General features: G+C 51.7%; 1 protein-coding gene across 6 annotated transcripts in view, besides 1 other annotated feature; it reads left to right on the top strand.

Moving 5' to 3' along the window:
* The window catches only part of ARHGAP39 (Rho GTPase activating protein 39), a 171,184-nt gene that overhangs the window by 129,412 nt on the left and 15,465 nt on the right, over positions 1-26,307 (top strand). For all 6 annotated transcript variants that reach the window (XM_011517308.2, NM_001308208.2, NM_025251.3 and 3 more), the window contains 3 exons: positions 15,308-15,391; positions 22,462-23,824; positions 25,141-25,702. In XM_011517308.2, coding sequence (XP_011515610.1) covers positions 15,308-15,391; positions 22,462-23,824; positions 25,141-25,702 — 2,009 coding nt within the window. The remainder of the gene's footprint in view (positions 1-15,307; positions 15,392-22,461; positions 23,825-25,140; positions 25,703-26,307) is intronic.
* Positions 82-1,281: an enhancer, noted in NCBI's record as "MED14-independent group 3 enhancer chr8:145795054-145796253 (GRCh37/hg19 assembly coordinates)". NCBI's record gives its function as "activates an origin of replication core promoter dependent on BRD2, BRD4, P300/CBP and CDK7 cofactors, and independent of MED14, by STARR-seq in HCT116 cells {active_cell/tissue: HCT116}" and the evidence as "EXISTENCE:reporter gene assay evidence [ECO:0000049][PMID:35650434]".

Genomic DNA, 26,307 nt, shown 5'->3' with positions numbered 1-26,307 from the left:
TCAGAGATTCAACTTATTCCTGGTTTAGTCTTGGGAGGGTGTATGTGTCCAGGAATTTATCAATTTCTTCTAGATTTTCTATTTTATTTGTGTAGAGGTGTTTATAGTATTCTCTGATGGTAGTTTGTATTTCTGTGGGATCGGTGCTGGTATCTCCTTTATCATTTTTTATTGCGTATATTTGATTATTCTCTCTTTTCTTCTTTATTAGTCTTGCTAGCAGTGTACCAATTTTGTTGATCTTTTCAACCTATTTTTTTCTACCTGCTGTCTCCATTCTGAGAGTTAAAGTCTCCTCCTAGAATAGCAGAATTTGTTCATTTCTCCTTTAAAATCTGTCAATTTCCACTTCTTATATATTGAAGCAGTGAGTTGGTCACTCGTAAGTTTGGAATCGTTTTCCTGCTAGACTTTTCCTATTGTCGTTGCGTCTAATCCTCTTTACCCCTCACAGTCTTCTTGCCTTGAAGTCAACTTTTAGAGTTTGTGGTGCCATTGTTTCTCTTTGGTTAGAATTTGCCTCCTTTTTCCATCCAGTCTATTTCTTGTAAATGATGTATAGCTGTTTGGTTTATTTTTAAATCTAGTCCAAACACCCGTCTTTTGTTTGGCAGGATTGTTCCAGTCATTGACGAGATTGCTGATGCAACAAGAGGATTTAGTTCATCATCTCACGTTCTGCTCGGCTTATAAGCTTTTGTTTGTTTGTTTCTTTGTTTGTTTGTTTTTGAGACAGAATTTCACTCTTGTCACTCGGGCTGGGGTGCAATGGCACCATCTCGGCTCACTGCAACCTCTGCCTCCCCGGGTGAAGTAATTCTCCTGCCTCAGCCTCCTGAGTAGCTGGGATTACAGGCATGAGCCACCACGCCTGGTTAATTTTTGTATTTTTAGTAGAGACGGGGTTTTACCATGTTGGCCAGGCTGGCCTTGAACTCTTGACCTCAAGTGATCTGCCCGCCCCAGCTTCCCAAAGTGCTGGGATTACAGGCCTGAGCCACCGCGCCCAGCCTCAGCATATACGCTTTTCTGTTGCTCTCTCTGTCCTCATTTTCCCCACACCCACTACTCTGTGTGTTTTTGTTAACATTTGGATGGATGTCTTCCTGCCCTTGTTCTGATGTTTCTGTCTCTTCAAGTGTGTCAACTTTATGGAAGGAAAATTGAAAGGCAATAAACCACACACATTTAAAGCATACATTTTGATAAGTCTTGATGTATGTACACACCCATGACCATCACCACAATTAAGGTAGTGCACTTTCCACTGGTGCCAGAAGTCTCCTTGCCCTCCTGTTCCCCTCCCACCTGTCTCTGCACAATCCCCCACATTCCTAAGGAACCATTCGTCTACCTGCTTCACTATAGATTAATTTGTGTTTTGTAGAATTTTACATAAAAGGACTCAAGCAGTATGCACTCTTTTTTGTCTGTCATCTTTCACTCCATGTAATTGTTTTGACATGTTGTTACATGTATCCGTAGTTTATTCCTTTTTCACTGCTTAGTAGTATACCATTGTATGGATGTACCGCCTTCTGTTGGGCATTTGGGTTGTTTGCAGGTTTGGGCTATTACAAATAAAACTGCTATGAACATTCATGTACAAGTCTTTGTTTGGACATACATTTTTATTTCTCTCAGAAAATACCCAGGAGTATTTTGAGGCTCTGTAGTTAGGTACATAAACATTTAGGATTATGTGCTCCTGATGAATCAGTCCCTTCATCATTGACCCTCTTTGTTCCTAGAAATATTCTTTGCTCCAAAATCTACTTACATTAATCTTGGCACTCCAATATTAATTTGATTCATGTTAGCATGGTATCTCTCATTTCAACCTTTTACTTTTTACCTATTCTTTTGTCTTTATTGTGAGTTTTCCTGTAGGCATCATATTATTAGGTCACATGTTTTTATTCAGTCTGAACGTCTCTGCCTGTTTATGGGGGGATTAGACCATTAACACAGTGTGATGATTTGCATGGCTAGGGTCAGGCTTAGGCGTAAATCTGTCGTCTCGCTGTTTGATTTGTTGTCTCTTTTGTTCTCAATCCCTTTTTCCTCTTTTTTTTTTCCTTCTGCACTAATCGAGCATTTTAAAATTCACCTTTATCTCCCCTTGTTGGATTCTTAATTATGGCTCTTTGCTACTTTTTAGTGATTGTTTTAGGGTTTATGTATTATCTTATATTAACTTACCATAGTTGACTTTCAAATGATATTATCCCGCTTCATAAATGGTGTAAGAACCTAACAGCATTTATTAGGCTCCATTTCTCTCTAATTTTGTCCTGTTGCTGTCAAGTATGTTACTTTTCTACATGTTATCAATGTCTTAATACATTGTTATCATTTGTACTTTAAACAGTCAGTTATCATTTAAAGAGATTTTAATACTAAGCAAACATTTCTACATCACCCCACACAGTTCCTGTTTCCTGTGCTCTTGATTGCTTGTGTAGATCCAGATTTGTGTCCATCTGGTGGCATTTCTTTCTGCTTCAAGGACTTCATGTAACATTTACTGAAGTGCAAGTCTGCTGGTAATGACTTCTTTTAGCTTTTGTGTTTTTGAAAAAGTCTTCCATCTTTTTTTTTTTTTTTTTTTTTTTTTGAGACAGAGTCTCACTCTGTCACCCAGGCTGGAGTGCAGTGGTGTGATCTCGGCTCACTGCATCCTCCACCTGCCAGGTTCATGTGATTCTCCTGCCTTAGCCTCCCAAGTAGCTGGGACTACAGGCGTGTGCCACCACACCCAGCTAATTTTTGTATTTTTTTGGCAAAGACGAGAGTTCACCATGTTGGCCAGGCTGATCTCAAACTCCTGACCTCAGGTGATCTGCCCACCTCAGCCTCCCAAGGTGCTGGGATTACAGGCATCAGCCTGTAGGGTCCAGCCCCACAGGGTCAGTGGGTTTTCTCCCCATGTGCGGAGACGAGATTGTAGAAATAAAGACACAAGACAAAGAGATAAAAGAAAAGACAGCTGGGCCCAGGGGACCACTACCACCAAGACATGGAGACCGGTAGTGGCCCTGAATGCCAGGCTGCGCTGATATTTATTGGATACAAGACAAAGGGGCAGGATAAGGAGAGTGAGCCATCTCCAATGATAGGTAAAGCCACGTGGGTCACATGTCCACTGGCCAGGGGGCCCTTCCCTGCCTGGCAGCCGAGGCAGAGAGAGAGGAGAGAGAGAGAGAAACAACTTACGCCATTATTTCTGCATATCAGAGACTTTTAGTACTTTCACTAATTTTCTACTGCTATCTAGAAGGCAGAGCCAGGTGTACAGGATGGAACATGAAGGTGGACTAGGAACGTGACCACTGAAGCACAGCATCACAGGGAGATGGTTAGGCCTCTGGATAACTGCAGGCGAGCCTGACTGATGTCAGGCCCTCCACAAGAGGTGGAGGAGTAGAGTCTTCTCTAAACTCCCCCCGGGAAAGGGAGACTCCCTTTCCTGGTCCGCTAAGTAGCGGGTGTTTTCCCTTGATACTGACGCTACTGCTAGACCACGGTCCGCTTGGCAACGGGTGTCTTCCCAGACGCTGGCGTTACCGCTAGACCAAGGAGCCCTCTGGTGGCCCTGTCTGGGCATAACAGAAGGCTCGCACTCTTGTCTTCTGGTCACTCCTCACTATGTCCCCTCAGTTCCTATCTCTGTATGGCCTGGTTTTTCCTAGGTTATGATTGTAGAGCAAGGATTATTATAATATTGGAATAAAGAGTAATTGCTACAAACTATTGATCAATGATATTCATATATAATCATATCTAAGATCTATATCTGGTATAACTATTCTTATTTTATATATTTTATCATACTGGAACAGCTCGTGCCTTCAGTCTCTTGCCTCAGCACCTGGGTGGCTTGCCGCCCACATCAGCCACCACACCTGGCCTCATTTTCATTTTTGAAAGCTACTTTTGCTGGGTGTAGGTTAAGATTTATTCCTTTTTGCCACTTCATTGTCTTCTGGCTTGCATCATTTCTAACAAGAAATCAGCTGTCATTCTTTGTATTTCTTTACATAATGTGTCTTTTAACTCTAGCTCCTTTATTTCTTTTTTTTTTTTTTCTTTTTTTGAGATGGAGTCTCACTATGTCACCTAGGCTGGAGCGCAGTGGCACGATCTCGGCTCACTGCAACCTCCACCTCCTGGCTTCCAGCAATTCTCCTGCCCCAGTCTCCCAAGTATCTGGGATTACAGGCGCACACCACCATGCCCAGCTAATTTTGTATTTTTAGTAGAGCCGGCGTTTCACCATGTTGGCCAGGCTGGCCTCGAACTCCTGACCTCAAGTGATCTGCCCACCTTGGCCTCCCAAAGTGCCGGGATTACAGGCATGAGCTACCATACCCAGCCAATTTCATTCTATTTTTTTGAGGCAGGGTCTGGCTCTTTCACCCAGGCTGGAGTGGAATGGCGTGATCTCTGCTCATTGCACACTTTGCCTCCCAATCTCAAACTGTCCTCCCACCTCAGCACCTGGGACCACAGGTGCACACCACCACACCCAGCTTATTTTTGTATTTTTGGTAGAGATGGGGTTTTACCATGTTGCCCAGGGTGGTCTCAAACTCTTGGACTCAAGCGATCCACCTGCCTCGGCCCCCAAAGCACTGGATTTGCAGGAGTGAGCCACCACACCTGGCTCTAGCTCCTTTATTTTCTCTATTTTGCTCATTTTAAGCAATTTGATTAAGATAGGGGTTTATGTCATTTTCTTCGTGTTCCTTGTGCTGGGGTTCGTGTAGCTTCTTGGACCTCTCAGTTTATGGTCTTCATCACGTTTGAGAAATTTTCAGTCATTTTTTCTCCCAAAACAAAACTTTTTTTGTTGTTGAGACAGGGTCTCGCTCTGTAGCCCAGGCTGAAGTGCAATGGCGCAATCACAGATGATGGCGGCGTCAACCTCCTGGGCTCAAGCGATCCTCCCACCTCTGCTTCCTGAGTAGCTGGGACCACAAGCTTGCTGACTTCCGTACCCAGCCTTTTTTTTTTTTTTTTGTAGAGTTGGGGTCTCTCTGTTTTTCCCAGGCTGGTCTCAAACTCCTGGGCTCAAGCGATCCTCCCGCCTCAGCCTCCCGTAGTGCGACAAGTGTGAGCCACTGTGCCTGGCCTTTTCTTTAGACTGTGTTTGTGCTCACACCCCCACCCAGCACTGCAGTTATGTGTCAGGTCACTTGAAGTCATCCTGCAGCTCTCTGACTCTGTGGGATAATTTCCATTTTCTTTTCTTTTGTTTTTTAAGATGGAATCTCGCTCTGTCACCCAGGCTGGAGTGCAGTGGTGCAATCTCAGCTCACTGCACCTCTACCTCCTGGGTTCAAGCAATTCTCCTGCCTCAGCCTCCCGAGTGGCTGGGACTACAGACACCTGCCACCGCGCCTGGCTAATTTTTGTATTTTTAGTAGAGACGGGGTTTCGCCACATTGCCCAGTCTGGCCTTGAACTCCTGACCTCAAGTGATCCACCCGCCTTGACCTCCCACCATGCTGGAATTACGGGCATGAACCACTGCACTCAGTCCCACTTTCTCTTTTTTCTTTATTTTTCCTCTGTTTTTTGTAGCTTTAATTTTGGATCATTTCTGTTGTTGTGCTTTCAAATTCACGAAGCGTTTTTTCTTTCTAGTGGTGGGTTTGGTTTGGTTTGGTTTTGAGGCAAGGCCTTGCCGTTGCCCAGGCTGGAGTGCAGTGATGCAGGCTCGGCTCACTGCAGCCTCAACCTCCTGGCCCAGACAGTCCTCTCAGCCTCCCAAGTAGCTGAGACAACAGGCACACATTACCACACCTAGCTAATTTATATGTATATAATTTTTTTTTTGAGATGGAATTCACTCTTGTTGCCCAGGCTGGAGTGCAATGGCGCAATCTCGGCTCACGGCAACCTCTGCCTCCCGGGTTCAAGCGAGTCTCCTGTCTCAGCCTCCCGAGTAGCTAGGATTACATGCACATGCTTCCACGCCTGGCTAATTTTTGTGTGTTTTAGGAGAGACAGGGCTTCATCATATTGGTCAGGTTGGTCTCGAACTCCTGACCTCAGATGACTCGCCCCCATCTTGGCCTCCCAAAGTGCTGGGATTACAGGCTGAGTCACCATGCCTGGCCTTTTTTTTTTTTTTTAGAGATCTCACTATGTTGCCCAGGCTGGTCTCAGACTCCTGGCCTCAAGTGGTCCTCCTGCCTCAGCCTCTCAAAGTGCTAGGATTATAGGCGTGAGTCTCCATGCCCAGCCCCAGTGTATTTTTCCTCTCAGACATCATAATGCTTATCTCTAGAACTTTGATTGGGTTCTTTTTTGTATATTCTACGTCTCTACTTAACATGTTCAGTCATTTCTCTAGCTTTTTGAACATATGGAATACAACTTTAGTAACTGTTAATGTCTTTCTCAACTACTTTCATTTGTGTCAGTTTGGGGTTAGGTTCAACTGGTTGAGTTTTCTTGTAATAGTTCCCTTTTTTTCCCCTTCTCCAAGTTATTGGTAGAGATTCAGTGCATTCTGAGGAGCAAGAACTTCCATCTTGTGAGCAAAAGTTGTTGATATATGAGGGGAAGCCATCCCAGCAGGGGAAGCACCAAGTGGCACGTCCCGAGACGGAAGAGCATTTGGTGTGCTCAGGGGACAACGGGGGCCAGTGCTGCTGCTCAGAGAAACCAAAAGGAGTTGGCATTCCTGACTATCAGAACCAATTGCAGATGTTCATCTCTTGTTATTTGTGATGACATTTTACATGCTTCATCTGCAAAAATGTCTTTTTACACAGAGAGCTACTGCCAAATACTGGTGTCAGTCCATGAGCATATGATTTGGAAGGCATTTATCAAATTCTGCTGGATCTATATTTTGAGCTCAGAAAATATATCTGCTGCAAATTTGTGTGGGAATGGAAATCTCACTTTCTGTTTTAATTTTAGACACCATGGGAAGTAGATAAAGCAGCTTGACATTACTTATGATTCAGACATTAGTTGACATCGAAATAACTTTACTGCAATATAAGTTTCACACATATGCACTGTTTGATTTGTAATGTTAGGTTGAATTCATTAAGAAATGTTGTCAAGCCTACAACAAAAATTAATTTCCAAAGTCATTAATTGTGCACTTATTTATTTATTTATTTTATTATTATTTTTTTTAGATACAAGGTCTCGCTGTTACCCATGCTAGAATGCAGTGGTGTGATCACAGCTCACTGCAGCCTTGAACTCCTGGGCTCCAGTGATTCTCCTCCAGAGCAGCTAGGACTATAGGCATATGCCACTGTGCCCAGCTAATTTTCTTTTATTATTATTATTTTTTTTTTATAGAGATAAGGTCTCACTATCTTTCCAGGCTGGTCTTGAACTCCTCGTCTCAAGTGATCCTCCTAACTCAGCCCCCTAAAGCATTGGGATTTTAGGGCTGAGCCCTAAAATTTTAGGGTGCCAAGCCCTTTTCAGTGTTTAATAGTGGTTGAGGGAGGTTTTTCTCATGCAGAGACTTTTAGTCTTGGCCCAGAGTTTTCTAAAAAATGACAATAAAACTTTGCCACTGCGAAGCTGTTGAATTTTGTGTGGTCGGAAAGTGAGAATATTTATCATTGATTTCTGACAAAAATTCATGGAACTAATGATGGCTGAGTCATGAGAGTGCATGAAGTTCGTGTTGATGCCACTGTTTCAGTAACTCCTAATAGATTCAAATACTTTTCACAAAGTAGCTGCTAATGAAAAACACAATAAACATAGGCTTATATTTTCACATTATCTTCAGTTTTCATAAGCTTTGTAAGTTTGTCTAAGTAAGCCTTTTCTGATCCACATATATTCTTAGCATGATCAGTTGTAGTTCATCTTAGTAGATTCCACTTCAGGTCATACAAAATTAGTATTTTCACAACTTATTTGAAAATACTGTGTGTTCTAGTTGTTCCACATAGAGCAAGTGATAGAGGCTAATTCTTTGGTCACTTCAAGCTCAATATTGACTCCTTCAAACATAGCAGTACCAGTAACGTCTGTCAGCTCATCAAGAGCCAAGGAAACCACTGGAGTCCGATGGAAACCACTGGAGTTAGTCTGTGGAAACCACTGGAGTGAGTCCGATGGAAACCACTGGAGTGTGATGGAAACCACTGGAGTCCGATGGAAACCACTGGAGTGAGTCCGATGGAAACCACTGGAGTCCAATGGAAACCACTGGGGTGCGATGGAAACCACTGGAGTGAGTCCGATGGAAACCACTGGAGTCCGATGGAAACCACTGGAGTGAGTCCGATGGAAACCACTGGAGTCCGATGGTAACCACTGGGGTCCGATGGAAACCACTGGAGTGAGTCCGATGGAAACCACTGGAGTGTAATGGAAACCACTGGAGTGTGATGGAAACCACTGGAGTGTGATGGAAACCACTGGAGTCCGATGGAAACCACTGGAGTGAGTCCGATGGAAACCACTGGAGTGCGATGGAAACCACTGGAGTGCGATGGAAACCACTGGAGTCCGATGGAAACCACTGGGGTCCGATGGAAACCACTGGAGCGCGATGGAAACCACTGGAGCGCGATGGAAACCACTGGGGTCCGATGGAAACCACTGGAGCGTGATGGAAACCACTGGAGCGTGATGGAAACCACTGGAGCCCGATGGAAACCACTGGAGCACGATGGAAACCACTGGAGCACGATGGAAACCACTGGAGTGTGATGGAAACCACTGGGGTGAGTCCAATGGAAACCACTGGAGCCCGATGGAAACCACTGGGATGTGATGGAAAGCACTGGGGTCTGATGGAAACCACTGGAGTAAGTCCGATGGAAACCACTGGAGTAAGTCCGATGGAAACCACTGGAGTAAGTCCGATGGAAACCACTGGAGTAAGTCCGATGGAAACCACTGGAGTAAGTCCGATGGAAACCACTGGAGTGTGATGGAAACCACTGGAGTGTGATGGAAACCACTGGGGTCCGATGGAAACCACTGGAGTCCGATGGAAACCACTGGAGTGTGATGGAAACCACTGGAGTGTGATGGAAACCACTGGAGTGCGATGGAAACCACTGGAGTGTGATGGAAACCACTGGGGTGAGTCCAATGGAAACCACTGGAGCCCGATGGAAACCACTGGGATGTGATGGAAAGCACTGGGGTCCGATGGAAACCACTGGAGTAAGTCCGATGGAAACCACTGGATTAAGTCCGATGGAAACCACTGGATTAAGTCCGATGGAAACCACTGGAGTGTGATGGAAACCACTGGAGCGCGATGGAAACCACTGGAGCGCGATGGAAACCACTGGAGCGCGATGGAAACCACTGGGGTCCGATGGAAACCACTGGAGCGCGATGGAAACCACTGGGGTCCGATGGAAACCACTGGGGTCCGATCGAAACCACTGGAGTGTGATGGAAACCACTGGGGTCTGATGGAAACCACTGGAGTCTGATGGAAACCACTGGAGTGTGATGGAAACCACTGGAGTGTGATGGAAACCACTGGAGTGTGATGGACACCACTGGAGTGTGATGGAAACCACTGGAGTGTGATGGACACCACTGGGGTGAGTCCGATGGAAACCACTGGGGCCCGATGGAAACCACTGGGATGTGATGGAAAGCACTGGGGTCTGATGGAAACCACTGGAATGTGATGGAAACCACTGGAGTGTGATGGAAACCACTGGGGTCTGATGGACACCACTGGAGTGTGATGGAAACCACTGGAGTGTGATGGAAACCACTGGGGTGAGTCCGATGGAAACTGCTGGGGTGCGATGGAAACCACTGGGGTGTGATGGAAACCGCTGGGGTGCAATGGAAACCACTGGGGTCCTAGGGCTGTTGTGTTGCTCTCACTGTCCTCAACTCCTCAAGCAGCTGCTCTTGCCAAAAGGCTAATAGTCTTAAGCAAGTTTATCATCTCTCGACACAGTTTTAGATGCCATAATCAACACAATGTAATTAATTTCCCATCAGTGAACAGTTTTCCTTGCTTGGCTAACAAGTGAGCCACATTAGAACATACGTTAGTGTAAGGGTCATTTTTATTTTTGTAAAGTAATTCTGCCGTGATGAAATACTCCACTTGAGAGTTTCTGTTTCTGTTTAAAATGTTTCTGACAGTTGTGTAAGTTGAGTCTGTTGTGACGAGTACTTGCTCTAGTAGTGTTGACGTCATGCTCCTTTAGCACAGCCATAGCATCACCGCCTCAGGAACATGATATTCATCTAACTCAGTAACAGAGTAACCCGCGCACCGCTGGTCCTCGAGAGCATAACATTGAAGGCCCACTTGCAGGACCCCAGTCATCTTTTGGTGACGAGTCAGAAATGGTAGGAGGGTTAGATACAGATACAGCAATCTTATAGATGTCTTTGCCTATATGGTTTTCCATCTCGGCATATTCCATATTTCTAGCTTTTTGTTCTGTACCGTAATTATGTGTTTGAAGATATTGACCACCAGCCAACTTTAACGTTTGCCATTTGTTTTTTTATTTTGTTTTGTTTTTTTGAGACGGAGTCTCGTTTTGTTGCCCAGGCTGGAGTGCAATGGCAAGATCCCAGCTCACTGCAACCTCTGCCTCTTGGGTTCAAGCGATTCTCCTGCCTCAGCCTCCCAAGTAGCTGGGATTATAGGCACGCGCCACCACACCCGGCTACTTATTGTATTTTTAGTAGAGACGGGGGTTTCACCATGTTGGCCAGGCTGGTCTCAAACTCCTGACCTCAAGTGATCCACTCACCTTGGCCTCCCAAAGTGTTGGAATTACAGGCGTGAGTCACTGTGCCCGGCAAGTTTGCCATTTGTTGATACAACTGATTTTAAAACATTTTTAAAATGACCTTTTTATTTGAGAAGCAATGTACATTAGTCATAGAAGATATGTATAATTACATAAAAGAAAATAAACACTTGTAATAGATATTAGTGCTGTCTACCACAGGCCAAGCACACAAAATTCAAAGTGCTCCATGATCTGGAACGTTTTGAGTGTCAACGTGATGCCACAAGTGGAAACTTCCACGTCTGACCTCAGGTGATAGGTTGCCATTAAAACACAGTCAAAACTTTGTTTCATGCACAGAATTATTAAACATATTCTATAAAATTGCCTTCAGGCTATGTGGATAAGGTATATATGAAACATAAATGAATTTTGTATTTAGACTTGGGTCCTACTCCCAAGATACCTCATTATGTATATGTATATGTAGATATTCCAAAATCCTAAAAAATCCAAAATCCAAAACTCTTCCGATCCCAAGCATTTTAGATAAGGGATCATCAACTTGCCTTAATTTTCTGGCATATATCCTTGAGGTTTTTAAAATATTTTACCACAACCGTATTTCAGCAGCCATGTCATATTTCTCAGTAGGAGCAATGTGCTTACTTAGTCCCTGTCCTCAGACACACGATTGGTCTCCAGCCTACTTGCTGTGTACAAAAATTTTAATCCCTGTCTCCTGAATTATTTTATATATTTGGGTCAATACTTGCGCTTTCTGTTGCATTCCAGAATCCATCCATCTACTAGTACTACACTGCTTTAATTATGTAGCTTTTTTTTTTTTTTTTTTTTTTTTTTTTGGAGACAAAGTCACTCTGTCACCCGGGCTTGCACGATCTCGGCTCACTGCAAGCTCCACCTCCCAGGTTCAAACAATTCTCCTGATACTGTGACCACAGGCATGTGTCACCCTTCCGGCTAGTTTTTGTTTTTTTGTTTTTTGTTTTGAGACAGAGTCTCGCTCTGTCGCCCAGGCTGGAGTGTAGTGGTGCAATCTTGGCTCACTGTAAGCTCTGCCCCCTGGGTTCACGCCATTCTCCTGCCTCAGCCTCCCGAGTAGCTGGGACTACAGGTGCCCACCACCACACCTGGCTAATTTTTTATATTTTTAATAGAGACAGGGTTTCACCATATTGGCCAGGCTGGTCTCAAACTCTTGACCTTGTGATCCGCCCACCTTGGCCTCCCAAAGTGCTGGGATTACAGTGTAAGCTACCGTGCCCGGCCCTAGTTTTTGTATTTTTAGTAGAGACGAGGTTTTGCTATGTTGGCCAGGCTGGTCTCGAACTCCTGACCTCAAGTGATCCACCCACCTCAGCCTCCCAAAGTGCTGGGATTACAGGCATGAGCCACCGTGCCCAGCCTAATTATGTAGCTTTATATTACTGTTTATATCATCCTTTCTGTATTACTTCTCAGCTATTTTTATATGGGGCTTTTTGCAGGGAGCAGAGTAGGGGGTGAACATACTGAACATTCTTAAGTTCTGAAAGTACTCCCGCTGAACATTTTTCTTTAGCTCCCTACTGTTGCCACTGAATGAAATTATTACTAGAATTTATGGCCAGGCGCGGTGACTCACGCCTGTAATGCCAGCACTTTGGGAGGCCAAGGCAGGTGGATCACCTGATGTCAGGAGTTCGAGACTAGCCTGACCAACATGGCAAAACCCCGTCTCTAATAAAAATACAAAAATTAGCCAGGCGTGGTGGCAGGTGCCTATAGTCCCAGCTACTTGGGAGGCTGAGGCAGGAGAATTGCTTGAACCTGGGAGATGGAGGTTGCAGTGAGCTGAAATCAAGATCACACCACTGCATTCAAGCCAGGGTGAGAGAGAGAGACTCCATCCCCCAGCCAAACAAAAAAAAAGACATTAAACATATTAACTAATTTAAAAAGAAGTCATATCTTTATATTTATTGAATTTTCCCATCCGGGAGTGTGTGTTTCTCTGTTATGTATTCAAGTCTTCTTTTATATGTCTCAACAAGACTTTACAGTATTATTCATATTGATACAGCACATTCCTCACTAACCTGTGCCTAGTATTTTGTTGTTACTGTTGCTTTAATAAAGGTGAGCTTGGTTTCCAGCCAGTCACCACCACACAGCACAGCCTCTGATGGCAGGTGGTACGTAAGTGAGGTCTCTCCGCACTGCTGAAGTTTCTCATTCGATTGTTTTAATTTCTCTAGGCTGACAATTGATGATCATTTTTATGTCTTCCTTTCAAATATTTGAATCTTTTGTGGTTTTTTTTCTTGTCCAGTTGCATTGCCTAGCACTTCCAAAAACTGTATTAAACAATGGTGGTAAGGATAAATAATTCTTGCCCTGACTTTCATGGGTATGCTTTCAGCCTTTTGCCACTGAATACTACGAAGGTTCAGCCTTTTGCCACTGAATACTACGAAGGTTCAGCCTTTTGCCGCTGAATACTATGAAGGTTCAGCCTTTGCCTCTGAATACTATGAAGGTTCAGGCTTTGCCTCTGAATACTACGAAGGTTCAGCCTTTGCCTCTGAATACTACGAAGGTTCAGCCTTTGCCTCTGAATACTACGAAGGTTCAGCCTTTTGCCGCTGAATACTATGAAGGTTCAGCCTTTGCCTCTGAATACGATGAAGGTTCAGCCTTTTGCCGCTGAATACTACGAAGGTTCAGCCTTTTGCCACTGAATACTACGAAGGTTCAGCCTTTGCCTCTGAATACTACGAAGGTTCAGCCTTTTGCCGCTGAATACTACGAAGGTTCAGCCTTTTGCCACTGAATACTATGAAGGTTCAGCCTTTGCCTCTGAATACTACGAAGGTTCAGCCTTTGCCTCTGAATACTACGAAGGTTCAGCCTTTTGCCGCTGAATACTACGAAGGTTCAGCCTTTGCCACTGAATACTACGAAGGTTCAGCCTTTGCCTCTGAATACTACGAAGGTTCAGCCTTTGCCTCTGAATACTACGAAGGTTCAGCCTTTGCCTCTGAATACTACGAAGGTTCAGCCTTTTGCCTCTGAATACTATGAAGGTTCAGCCTTTGCCTCTGAATACTATGAAGGTTCAGCCTTTGCCTCTGAGTACTATGAAGGTTCAGGCTTTTGCCGCTGAATACTATGAAGGTTCAGCCTTTGCCACTGAATACTATGAAGGTTCAGCCTTTGCCTCTGAATACTATGAAGGTTCAGGCTTTTGCCACTGAATACTATGAAGGTTCAGCCTTTTGCCTCTGAATACTATGAAGGTTCAGCCTTTTGCCTCTGAATACTATGAAGGTTCAGCCTTTTGCCTCTGAATACTATGAAGGTTCAGCCTTTGCCTCTGAATACTATGAAGGTTCAGCCTTTTGCCTCTGAATACTATGAAGGTTCAGCCTTTTGCCTCTGAATACTATGAAGGTTCAGCCTTTGCCTCTGAATACTATGAAGGTTCAGCCTTTTGCCTCTGAATACTATGAAGGTTCAGCCTTTTGCCTCTGAATACTATGAAGGTTCAGCCTTTGCCTCTGAATACTATGAAGGTTCAGGCTTTGCCTCTGAATACTATGAAGGTTCAGCCTTTGCCTCTGAATACTATGAAGGTTCAGCCTTTGCCTCTGAATACTATGAAGGTTCAGGCTTTTGCCGCTGAATACTATGAAGGCCTTGAGTTTAATTTGGATATTCTTAATCAGATTAAGTAAATTTTCTTCTACTTCTGGACTACTGAGAGTTGTTTTAGATCATAAATACTTATCGGTTTGATCACATACCTGGGAATATCTGTCGGGATAATCGCCTACTCAGCCATTCATTTCATAGATATTTGTTATGTTCCAGGCCCTGACCTTCAGCAGTCACAGTCTCCAAGGGTATTTCTTTTTTTTTTTTTTTTTTTTTTAGATGGAGTCTTGCTCTGTCACCCAGGCTGGAGTGCAGTGGCGCCATCTCGGCTCACTGCACGCTCCGCCTCCCGGGTTCACGCCATTCTCCTGCCTCAGCCTCCCAAGTAGCTGGGACTACAGGCGCCCGCCACCACGCCTGGCTAATTTTTTGTATTTTTAGTAGAGACGGGGTTTCACCATGTTAGCCAGGATGGTCTCGATCTCCTGACCTCGTGATCCGCCCGCCTCAGCCTCCCCCAGTGCTGGGATTCCAGGCGTGAGCCACCGTGCCTGGTCTCCAAGGCTATTTCTAGCCATGCTTCCTTCCCAGGTCATCTTTTTATGTCTGGCTGAAGCTGTGATTCTCAGTAACCCCATCTCTATGCCCTTAGAACAGTAGCCCCAGCTCCAATGGTTCAAGCTTCTGAAATCCAGGTGTCCCAGCCACTCCCTGGCCTCTGGATGGGCCACAGTGGTGTGTACCTGCTGGAAGAAGGTGGACTCAGGGCAGAAGATGAAGAATACAGCCTGGGGGCAGGAGCCAGGTTATTTCCAGGAAATTGAGGTGGCAGTGCCACATTCTTAAGTCAGGGAGTGGCTGGTTATGGTAAACGATTGCACTTATATTCATATTTCTTTCATTTTACTGTGTTTCAGCTCTTCACCACCAGGAGTGTTCCTTGAGAAGGACTATGAGATTTACCGGGATTACAGTGCGGACGGCCAGCTTCTTCACTACAGGTAGAACCCATCTCTCAGGCGTGGCCGTTTGTGATGGAGGGCGGCTTCCTCAGTGAGCCAGGCTAACTGCAAGTGGGAGGTGCCTGGCGCGTAGCAGCAACACCACAGACCCAGAGCTGGAAAGGCCGTGGAGGCCACAGGGCCAGGGGCCTGGACAGGAGCCCCTTAGAGCTGCCCCAGGCCCATTGGCAGCCCCTGTCTAGGAACTTTGTCTCTGCCTGGCTTAGGCAGCCTGGAGCCTGCGGTGCTTCCCTCAGCCCCTGGTGGAGCAGCAGAGTGCTGGAGGGTCCTCAGTTAGGTCCACCCCTGGCATCTCAGGCCACACGTGCCAAAGCACTTGCCAGGCCCGTCTGGAAGGTTGGCGCTAATCACAGTGGAGGGGTGGGCTTTGGCTTCCAGTAGCCCTGGGTCAGCCTCACAGACTGCTGGAAGGTTCTGGAGACCACCCTCAAGACCCTACTGCCTTCACGCTGGGCGGGCAGGACGCTCCCTCCACCTCCCAGGATATCCAGGCAGAGGCAGGCACCTGGATTTCTCCTCCTTGGCCAGGTGGTGACCAGTTTGCTGTGGGAGATGCAGGGCCAGGGCCAGCTGCTGTTTCTGTAGGGGGGTGGGTGTCCGCAGCATGGGCCACCCAGGGGCACTGTGGTGCTGGGGAGGAACTGGAGGACCCGAGGGGGCTCTGGCGTTCTGCACAGACGATTGAACAGCTGGAGCTTGGAAGTGGTAACGGTTTGTTTCTTACATTCGTATTTGTTGAACATTAGGGTTGTGGCAGGGAATTAGAGCCTGCCCTGGTCCCAGCAGTGTGGCTGTTTGATAGAGGACAGGTTTTATAGCCTTCCCGAGCTTCCGTTTCCTCATCAGTGGGATGGATCTGGGCAGCTGACTCAGTGGTCACTGCAGAGTGACAGAGCTCGTAGTGGAAGGGCCACCCCCACTGTGGCAGATCAGGTCCTGGCTCTGGTCACCAGCCTTGGGGCTTCCTGTGGACCCAGCATGTGCTTAGTGGACCAACGCGACTGCATCCTTCGTGGTGGACGTGCCCACCTGGTCTTTGTTTGCCAAGCACTGCCTCAGCTCTGCCATCCCCAGGATGCCATTCTCCCCCAGGATCAAGGGCCCGACTCACTGGCATTATCCCTGAGCTCATCTGTGGCACCCACAGAGCTTTCAGGAAAGCCAGTGTCCCAGGTGAGGTGAGGAGGACCTTCTGGCCTCTCTGGGGATGTCAGGAGTAGGGGGTGGGTCGCTGAGCTAAGCCCGCCCCAGCGTCCTGCCCCTCACACCTACCAGGCCACTCTGGTGGCTCGGCCTCCTTCAGCCCCATGGAGCCGCCTCTGGCCCCACGAGCTGACACACCAGGTCCTGGTCTCCACGAAGGTCCAAGGATCCTCCTGGAGGTCCGCAGCCCCCGCAACCCTCCACTGGCGCACTTCCTGTGGCCTCTGCCTCTGTTGTGCCTTTGGCCCCTCTCAGAGGCTGGCACCTTTCACCTGGCTGACGATTCAGCCTGCTGAAGATCCCTGTTCAGACCACGAGTACATCCATGTGCTGGCCAGGCCCCCCGACACAGGGCCAGCAGCTGCACCTCTGGGCCGTAAACTAATGGCTGGGAGGCGACAGCCCACATCGAGCTCTGTGTGGGGCATTGGGCTCCCTCTGGACCTGGCGGGGAGAAGAGGCCTTGCCACTGCATTGGGCGGGGAGAAGAGGCCTTGCCGCTGCGTTGGGCGGCCCAGCCCAGTGTTTGCTGTCAGTAGTGCCGTGCATCCCTGAGGGTGATCCCTGGCCCTTGGCCAGTGTGGTGATGGCAGCCTGGCCTCCTTCAGTGACCTGGTTGGGGGCTGCTCCACACCAGGCAGCTTGGCCACCTCCTCATGCCCCTCCCCTGTCACTGTCATCCTGTCGCTGAGACCTTGGGACAGAGGTCCAGTGGTGTCTGGAAGAAGAGGCTGGGTCGACGGGAGTATGAGGGAGGCCTGCCAGTGTGCAGCAGCAGAGTACTGCCTCGGGGGGCTTGTGGCCTGGGGTGATGCATGCATGTTTAGCTGGGAAGGTGGAGCAGGGTGGGGAAGTGGATAGCCAGACCCTGTCCTGAGACGTTCTCAGTCCTTTTTGCTGAAACGCGCGTGCTCTGTGTGTTCTCATGATACGTGGAGGTGGGACTCACGCTCGCCAGAGTTGCACTTGTAGACTGGTTGAGAGCAGGCACCCAGCTGAATCTGCCAAGCCAGTTCTTGCTATGATCTAGGGCTTCTGGAAAGCGGGAACTTACCTTCCTTGGGGAGTCAGTGAGAGGGCCTGCCACGGCAAGCTGGGCACAATTACAGCGGTGCTAACATCTCCTGGGGTGGAGTGCAGAGTGTGCCAGGGTCCCATTGTGGCCGCTCGTGGGAGATCCCATCCTCAGCTAACCTGGACTCCCACCAGGAGTGAAGCTTTCCTCTGGACATGCTGGAGGCCTAGGTGTGAGCTGCCACAGCCATGCGGGTGCTTCTGGGAAGAGGGAGGAGAGCTGGTGTCCAGCCCCATGCCAGCCCCACAGGGGCTGAGAGCAGAACAGTTGAGAGCCAGCCAGGCCCGCTGGGCTCGGAAGGCCTTGGAAGCCCCACTCTGCCCCCAGAGCATGCCTGGTGCTTCCTTTCACAAGTTGCCATCAGCATAATGGACCAGTGTGATGCCATGTGAGATGGCAAGAAATAAAGTCCCTGTGAAATAAATTATATGGATGCAGTTCGCTCAGGGAAAAAAAAAAAAGAAATTATAAACAAAAGCCAGGGAGCTGGCCCAGCCCTGAGTACAGTGAAGGCGTGCTACTACCTCAGCCTGGCCAAAGCACATTGCTTCTGGTGTTCTCTGCATATTGAGATAGAAAAAAAAATCTCACCAGCTTGATACCAGCACTCAGGGTATCAAGAGACCACACCTAGAACAGCAGGGATAGCAGTGGGGTCGCCCTGGCAGGCAGCCTGGCAGGGTCAGGCCTAGAGGAAACACAGGCGAATGTGAAGTCACAGGGCCTGGAGAGTGAAGTTGTTTTTCAAGCATAATTTCAGACGTATGGTTTCTTGTTCTGTGTGAGTATAACTGTGTCTGTATTTAGGGACTCTGGCGGAGCGTTTTCCTCGGAAACCTGCGGCATTGGGTTGGGAGCCTGTCGGCTGCTGCCGCCGCGCGCTTCTCCCAGCTCCGTCCAGGCTCTGCAGGGACAGCAGCCGCTTCTCAGGAGCGACAGCAGCAGGGACGCGCTTCTGGCTGTGGTTTTGTTTTGCTTTGGTTTTGTGCAGCGCTTCCAATTCTTCCTCCGAAAATAGGCTCTGGGAGAAGCAGCCCTCAGGGCCCTTATTGTCGTCCCATCCTCTGTCACCAAATCTGCCCTGCCTGCCTGACTTCAGCATTTTCAGAGGCCACGACCGCTCTTAAGGCTTTCCAACTTCCCTTGCAGTTTGGAAGTGTCCCCTGAACAGCCTGTGTTGTGATGTTTGATTTCTGTTAATTTACTGAGATGGGGGAGATGGTCTCTCTGCTCTGGTGCCCCTGCCCTACAGAGAGGTGTGGGAATTTGGGAGGGTGAGGAGGAGATGGACAGGTTAGAGAAGGGTGAGGAGAGAGGCCTGGGATTCCACTTGCCCTGGAGAGATGGGAACGAGCTGGGCTCGGGAAGAGGGGCTATGAAGGCCCATCGGGGAGGCCGGACTGGCTGAAAGGACAGACATGGCCCAGGAGGAAGCCCAGCAGGGGCAGCTGAGCCATGGGTGCTTGCTCCCGGGGGCCGGGGCAAGCTCAGCCAACTAGGGGTGAGAATGACAGTCGGTGGGGCCTGGAGACTGGATGTGATTTGGGGGAGCTGAGGAGAAGGGCCAGGTGATGGGGTTGGGGGAATGCAGGCTCAGGAGCTGCCCCAGGGAAAGAGCAGAGCTGCCTACATGGCGGAAGGGTGGGTGGGGCAGGGCAAGAGACCCCTCAAGAGACACTCTGGGCGCCGTGGGGCGTGGTCCTCACCTAGCTGCCACTGTATCTGTGCTGCGTGGCCTGGGGAGAGTGTCTGGGCCTCTCGGGGCTTCCCCATCTGTGACTCGGGTGCCCAGCACAGGCCTCGGCCTGCATTGAGGAGGTGCTTGGCACACACACGTGGCAGTGCCAGCCTCCTCCCCTGGCCAGGCGGGATCATCGGCATGTGGGCAGGTCCTCTGGCCTTCTTACCTTTCTTCATCTCTGCCCCAACTGGGCAGAACCCATGTCCGTTCCTGAGATAGAGCGTGGCATCTGACCAGCAAGCCTTTCACGTGCCCTCACCTCTCCTCATACTCACCCCACCCTCCCGGCCGCCTGCCAGCCCCCCATCCTCCCCCAGCAACCCTAGACGGACAGCAGAAAGGCGCCTCCCTGGGGCCACGACAGGGCACCCTGTGCTGGGACCGTCTGCCAGTCCTTCCCTAGGCCTGGCCCAGGCCTAAGGCAGTATCTGTTAAGTGGTAAAAAGAGTCACAGATATGCAAAACTAATGGTTCGCATTGACCGAGGGTTTTCTGTGTCAGTGCTGAACTCAGGGCCTTACTACATGCACGTTGTTTTGTTGAATCTTCGTCATAACTGAGGAGGAAACTGAGGCAGAAGGATGTTAAGTGAAATCCAAGCCTTGCAGCCACAGAGCAACAGACTGGAGTTCAACCCCCGATCTCCCGAACTCCGGAGCCCTTCACCCCTCAGTGTCCCCAGGCCATGGAGGGGTTGACCCCACAGCTGGCCCTCAGGGTTTGATGGCCCCTGCCACACTGGCTGCCACCATCCACTCTGCCTGGCTAGCCCCTGTTGTCAGGCTGGGAGCAGTCTCCAGCAGCCACGAGCAGAAATCCCAGGAACAGGCACCTGCACTCTGCCCCTGGCTGCTGCCCTGACTTCTCGCCTGGGTGGTGTGGCCGTGCTGAGAGGGCCCACAGCCCAGTGTTCTGGAGCAGGTTGTCCCTGGTCAGGGGGTGCCATGTCTTCCTGGCCTTGCCTCACCAACCCCCCAGGCAATGGGGAATGTGGCCTTGTCCAGAAAGACCCCACATCAATCAGAGGGACACAACTGGCTTATAAAATGTGTGGGGTTTCTACTTTTTTTGTTGTTGTTTGTTTTAGAGATGGGGTCTCACTGTGTTCCCCAGGCTGGTCTCAAACTCCTGGCTTCAAGTGATCCTCCCACCTCAGCCTCCCCAAGTGCTGGGATTACAGATGTGAGCCACCACACCTGGCCAAATTCCTGGGGTTCTTTTTATTTTTATTTATTTACTTTTTTTTAGACAGGGTCTCACTCTGTCACCCAGGCTGGAGAGCAGTGGTGCGATCATGGCTCACTGCAGCTTCGACCTCCCTGAGCTTAAGCGATCCTCCCACCCCAGCTTCCTGAGTAGCTGGGACTACAGGAGCACACCACCATGTTCGGCTAATTGGTTTATGTTTTTGTAGAGATGAGGTCTTGCTCTGTTGCCCAGGCTGGTCTTGAAGCCCTGGGCTCAAGTGATCCTCCTGCCTCAGCCTCCCAATGTCTTTGGATTACAGACGTGAGCCACCATGCCTGGCCATTCCCTATTTTTAAGCTACCTCGTTTGTAGTATTTTGTTATAGAAGCCTGAATGGACTAAGACAATGCGTTTAAAAGCAGATTAAACATAGCTGAATAGAAAAGTAGTAAACTGGAAGGCAGTTGAGAAGAAAATATTCTGAAGTGTGGAGCTGCCAAGCAATGGGAACTGCAGAACACAGCATGAAAACCACGTGGGGCTGGGCGCGGTGGCTCACACCTGTAATCCCAGCACTTTGGGAGGCCGAGGCAGGCGGATCAGGAGGTCAGGAGTTCGGGACCAGCCTGGCCAACACGGTGAAACCCCATCTCTCTAGTAAAAATACAAAAATTAGCTGGGCCTGGTGGCGTGTGCCTGTAATCCCAGCTACTCGGGAGGCTGAGGCAGGAGAATCGCTTGAACTTGGGAGGCAGAGGTTACAGTGAGGCAAGACCGTGCCGCTATACTCCAGCCTGGCGACAGAGCAAGACTCCGTCTCAAAAAAACAAAACAAAACCACGTGGTGTACAGTAAGAAAGACTGCAATTAGATTTCCAGAAGAGAAGAGAGAGGAAACAGGGTAAAAGTAACATTTGGAAATTGTAGAAGACGTCAGGCCGCGGATGTGCAAAGTGCTATGCGTCCCAAATAGCCATACCCGAGTGGCCTCCAGGAGACAGAAGGTGGTGGAGGGGCCCCTCGTCTCTCCCTGGCAGCGTCCTGGGTCCAGCGCCCTGCACAGCAGGCATGGCTGTGGACACAGGACCAGTGCCCACCTTGGGCCGCCAGGGGCAGAGCACGTGTGGGCATTGCGTCTGCATATCTGCCCCGCAGTGCTGCCCAGAGCAGGGTCTCCCTCGTTGCGGATGAGTGAGTGGGACTCATGCACTGAGTTGGGAGGACTGGTGAGGACGCAGACAGCGTGACTCCGGGGACTCTGGTGCCCTTGGCCAGGTGCGGTGTTAGTGGGACACCTGCAGCTGTTGGAGTGAGCGTGGTGACTGGGGCAGGGTCAGAGGAGGACAGTCAGTCTTTCTGGAGCTCACAGGAGCTCCCAGTCGGAGAATGGGGCCGTGGGATTCTGGTGGTGTGCCTTCCTCCTGCTGGGCTCACCTGGACCACTGGGACGGGTCCAACGCCACTGCTCAGCAGGAACACAGGGCCCAGGAGCCTGCCCGGCGGCTCAGGCAGCTCTGGAGACACCCGCACAGCACCCACATTAAGGGCCCTGGTAACGCCGCCCCCGGTTCTAGTTACAGAAGCAGCCCTGTGCCCGGTCAGGAGCTGGGATCAGAGCAGACAGACACCTGGTCGTGGGCGGCAGCTCCAGGAGAGCCCCAGAGGGAGGGCTGGGGGTGCTGGGGCAAGGCAGGTGTGAGGGGCGCCAGGCCACAGGGCCCCAGCGAGGAAGGTGTACAACAGAGGGTTCGCGGGAGCCGCTGCCTACAGCCCCCGAGGGGGTGGGGCGTGCCCAGAAGCAGCAGGCAGGCAGTCACCTGTGCCCGTCCACCCCCCACGCAGGACCTCCTCGCTGCGGTGGAACTCGGGCGCCAAAGAGCGCATGCTCATCAAGGTCGCTGATCGGGAGCCCAGCTTCCTCGCCGCCCAGGGCAATGGCTACGCCCCAGACGGCCCACCTGGGGTCCGCTCCCGCAGACCCTCCGGCAGCCAGCACTCACCCAGCCTGCAGACCTTCGCCCCGGAGGCTGACGGCACCATCTTCTTCCCAGAGAGGAGGCCGTCACCCTTCCTGAAGAGGGCCGAGCTCCCAGGGAGCAGCTCCCCGCTGCTGGCCCAGCCCCGAAAGCCCTCCGGGGACTCGCAGCCCTCCTCCCCGCGCTATGGCTATGAACCCCCGCTCTACGAGGAGCCCCCAGTGGAGTACCAGGCCCCCATCTACGATGAGCCCCCCATGGACGTGCAATTCGAGGCTGGCGGGGGCTACCAGGCCGGCTCTCCCCAGCGGTCGCCGGGCCGTAAGCCCCGGCCGTTCCTCCAGCCCAACAAGCAGGGCCCCCCCTCGCCCTGCCAGCAGCTGGTGCTCACCAAGCAGAAGTGTCCCGAGCGCTTCCTGAGCCTGGAGTACAGTCCCGCCGGCAAGGAGTACGTGCGGCAGCTGGTCTACGTGGAGCAGGCGGGCTCCAGCCCCAAGCTGCGCGCCGGCCCGCGGCACAAGTACGCGCCCAACCCCGGCGGTGGTTCGTACTCCTTGCAGCCCAGCCCCTGCCTGCTGAGGGACCAGCGCCTGGGCGTCAAGTCCGGAGACTACAGCACCATGGAGGGACCTGAGCTGCGGCACAGCCAGCCGCCCACGCCGCTGCCACAGGCCCAGGAGGATGCCATGTCCTGGTCCAGCCAGCAGGACACCCTGTCCTCCACAGGCTACTCCCCGGGCACGCGCAAGCGGAAGAGCAGAAAGCCCTCTTTGTGCCAAGCCACCAGCGCCACCCCCACTGAGGGCCCCGGGGACCTGCTTGTGGAGCAGCCCCTGGCCGAGGAACAGCCCCCGTGCGGGACCAGCCTCGCCCCCGTGAAGCGAGCGGAAGGTGAGGCCGAAGGGGCGCGGGGCGCGGCCGAGCCCTTCCTGGCGCAGGCTCGGCTGGCCTGGGAGGCGCAGCAGGCCCACTTCCACATGAAGCAGAGGAGCAGCTGGGACTCCCAGCAGGACGGCTCTGGCTACGAGAGCGACGGCGCCCTGCCACTGCCCATGCCCGGGCCGGTGGTGCGGGCCTTCAGCGAGGACGAGGCGCTGGCCCAGCAGGAGAACAGGCACTGGAGGAGGGGCACCTTCGAGAAGCTAGGCTTCCCCCAGATCCTGCTGGAGAAGAGCGTCTCCGTGCAGACCAACCTGGCCTCACCAGAGCCCTACCTCCACCCCTCACAGGTGAGGGCCCAATGGGCGCGGCTGAGCTTGAGAGCCTGGGGCCAGCCCAGTCAGAGTGGACCCCGTGGGCCAGGCACAGGAGACCTGGCGTCCAGGGCGTGCACGCAGCACGCAGAGTTCTGAAGCCCCGTGTCTCCGGGGCCCTGGGCACTCCAGCGGGCTGTCAGGGCTCAGCTGGGAGTCCACGAGGAGGCCCCGTGGGGTGTGGGCTGCTGGGCGTTCCCTGGCAGTGCCTTCCTCATCCTGGGGGCACCTGGGAGCTGGAGGCCACACCCTGACTCCAGACACAGAACAGAGAAGGCCTCAGCAGCCTGGGAGGGTGGTGGCCACCGGAGCCGTGGCCTGGGCCCCTGAGGAGCAGGCAGCCAAGGTGTCGGGGGTTCCCTGGTGGTTCTCAAAGCCAGTCCCCGAGGCTCCCTCGGGTAGGAAGAACTGCCGGGAGGACAGAGGCCGCAGGAATTCCGGGATGTTGCGCCCAGCCTGGGGCCTCTGGCACGTTCCCCATCTGGCTCCTGGAGCTGATGGAGGCTAGATCCCGTGGAGGCCACGTGCACCTCTGTCCAGCATCTCCATCCTTGTTCTCACCTCCTTGTTCTCACAGGGTGAGGCAGAGGGCAGGCCTAGCGTCTGAGGACCCGGGAGGGTGGAGGAGGAACACAGGGAGCTTCCTTGGGTGGGGAGACCTCGAGGGCCTGGGTGGCCTTCGTGGTCTCCAGGGTGGAGAACTCAGAGCAGCTTCCGGTCCGTGATTCTGTCCACTTCTCAAGATGCAGGACAAGAGGGCAGAGAGGCCCAGGGTGCATGGACCAGGTTCTCTCAGAGCAGCAGGCAGGGAGGGGCCTCCTGGAGGTCGGCCTGGGGTGAAGGCTGGAGGGAAGGGCCTGGGGTCCCAGCAGTGAAGGGATTGGGAACCAGACAGCACTTTTACCTGGTGTGAACTGCAGCCTTCCGTGCCTGAACAAGGGCACTGACACTTCCTCAGGGGGCGGCAGAATGAGGTCAGCCCCCTGGGGGTGCCAGCGGATGCTCCCCTTCCTCCCGCCTCACCCTCAGCCAGGTCACCTGGGTCACCCATCAGCAGGCTGCCCTGCCACACCCTGGGAGTACAGGGCTCCGGCGTCCCAGCTGCATCTGTGGACGGGCTGGGCTCCCCTGGGCCTCCCACCTCAGACAGCTTTGTGGTGAGCAGGGCAGGGCTCTCACCTGGCTGGCTCTGGTGGGGCCCCAGCTCACACTTCTGGGGACTGTGGCCCAGTGGGCCCACCTGCCTGGCCCTCCCCCACCCCCAACAGCCCAGCCGCATTTGTCCTTCTCAGTCTGAGGACCTCGCTGCCTGTGCCCAGTTCGAGAGCAGCCGGCAGAGCCGCAGCGGCGTTCCCAGCTCCAGCTGCGTCTTCCCCACTTTCACGCTGCGCAAGCCCTCCTCGGAGACGGACATCGAGAACTGGGCCTCCAAGCACTTCAACAAGCACACGCAGGGCCTCTTCCGGCGGAAGGTGTCCATCGCCAACATGCTGGCCTGGAGCAGCGAGTCCATCAAGAAGCCCATGATCGTGACAAGCGACCGGCACGTGAAGAAGGAGGCCTGCGAGCTCTTCAAGCTGATCCAGATGTACATGGGTGACCGGCGGGCCAAGGCCGACCCACTGCACGTGGCCCTGGAGGTGGCCACCAAGGGCTGGAGCGTGCAGGGCCTGCGGGACGAGCTCTACATCCAGCTGTGCCGGCAGACCACCGAGAACTTCCGCCTGGAGAGCCTGGCCCGCGGCTGGGAGCTCATGGCCATCTGCCTGGCCTTTTTCCCGCCCACCCCCAAGTTCCACTCCTACCTGGAAGGCTACATCTACCGGCACATGGACCCCGTCAATGACACTAAAGGTAAGGCCATGCACGGGCTTTGCCACCAGCTCAGGTAAGGGCAGTGGAGAGGGCTCCTGCTGTGCTGGGCGGCAGCTGGTGAAGTCCCTGGCGGCCCTCCACACAGGGCCATGGTTCGACACACACCTCCCAAAACGCCCCACACTCTGGGCCTCTGCTGGATGTGGCCTCTTCCTGGAGCCCCACCTGGGCACTGAGGTGAAGAGCCCCGGAGCCCTGGCAGACACGAGGGCTTGGGGCCTCAATGGCCGCATCCACTCTGCTCCAAGCCCACCATGGCCAGTCCCGCTCCCTGACAAGGGCAGGCACGAAGACGCCGAGGGCGGAGCAGCCGTAGTCAGGCACCTGTGTGCCTGCCGCACTTGCCTTCTGCCATCCGTGACCTAGAGGGCTACCACCCTGGCAAGATCCGGGTTGTCTCTTCTGGGCATGGTCCTGGCAGAAGGCTCCTGTGAGCAGGCAGGAGCTTGATGACTGGCTCACATGCAGGTCACGCAGCACCTGAGCTGCCCCAAAGCTGCCCCATGGGGTCGCACGTCGGAGCCATCATCACATCCTGATGGCTGCCTGGGGCAGCGTGGGAGGCCAGAGTCTGCCCAGGGCTC

This window comes from Homo sapiens, chromosome 8 (assembly GCF_000001405.40).
Source record: "Homo sapiens chromosome 8, GRCh38.p14 Primary Assembly".
Lineage (NCBI taxonomy): Eukaryota > Metazoa > Chordata > Mammalia > Primates > Hominidae > Homo > Homo sapiens.
Note: the sequence above shows the minus strand (reverse complement) of the source record. Positions and strands in the feature narration are given on the sequence as shown.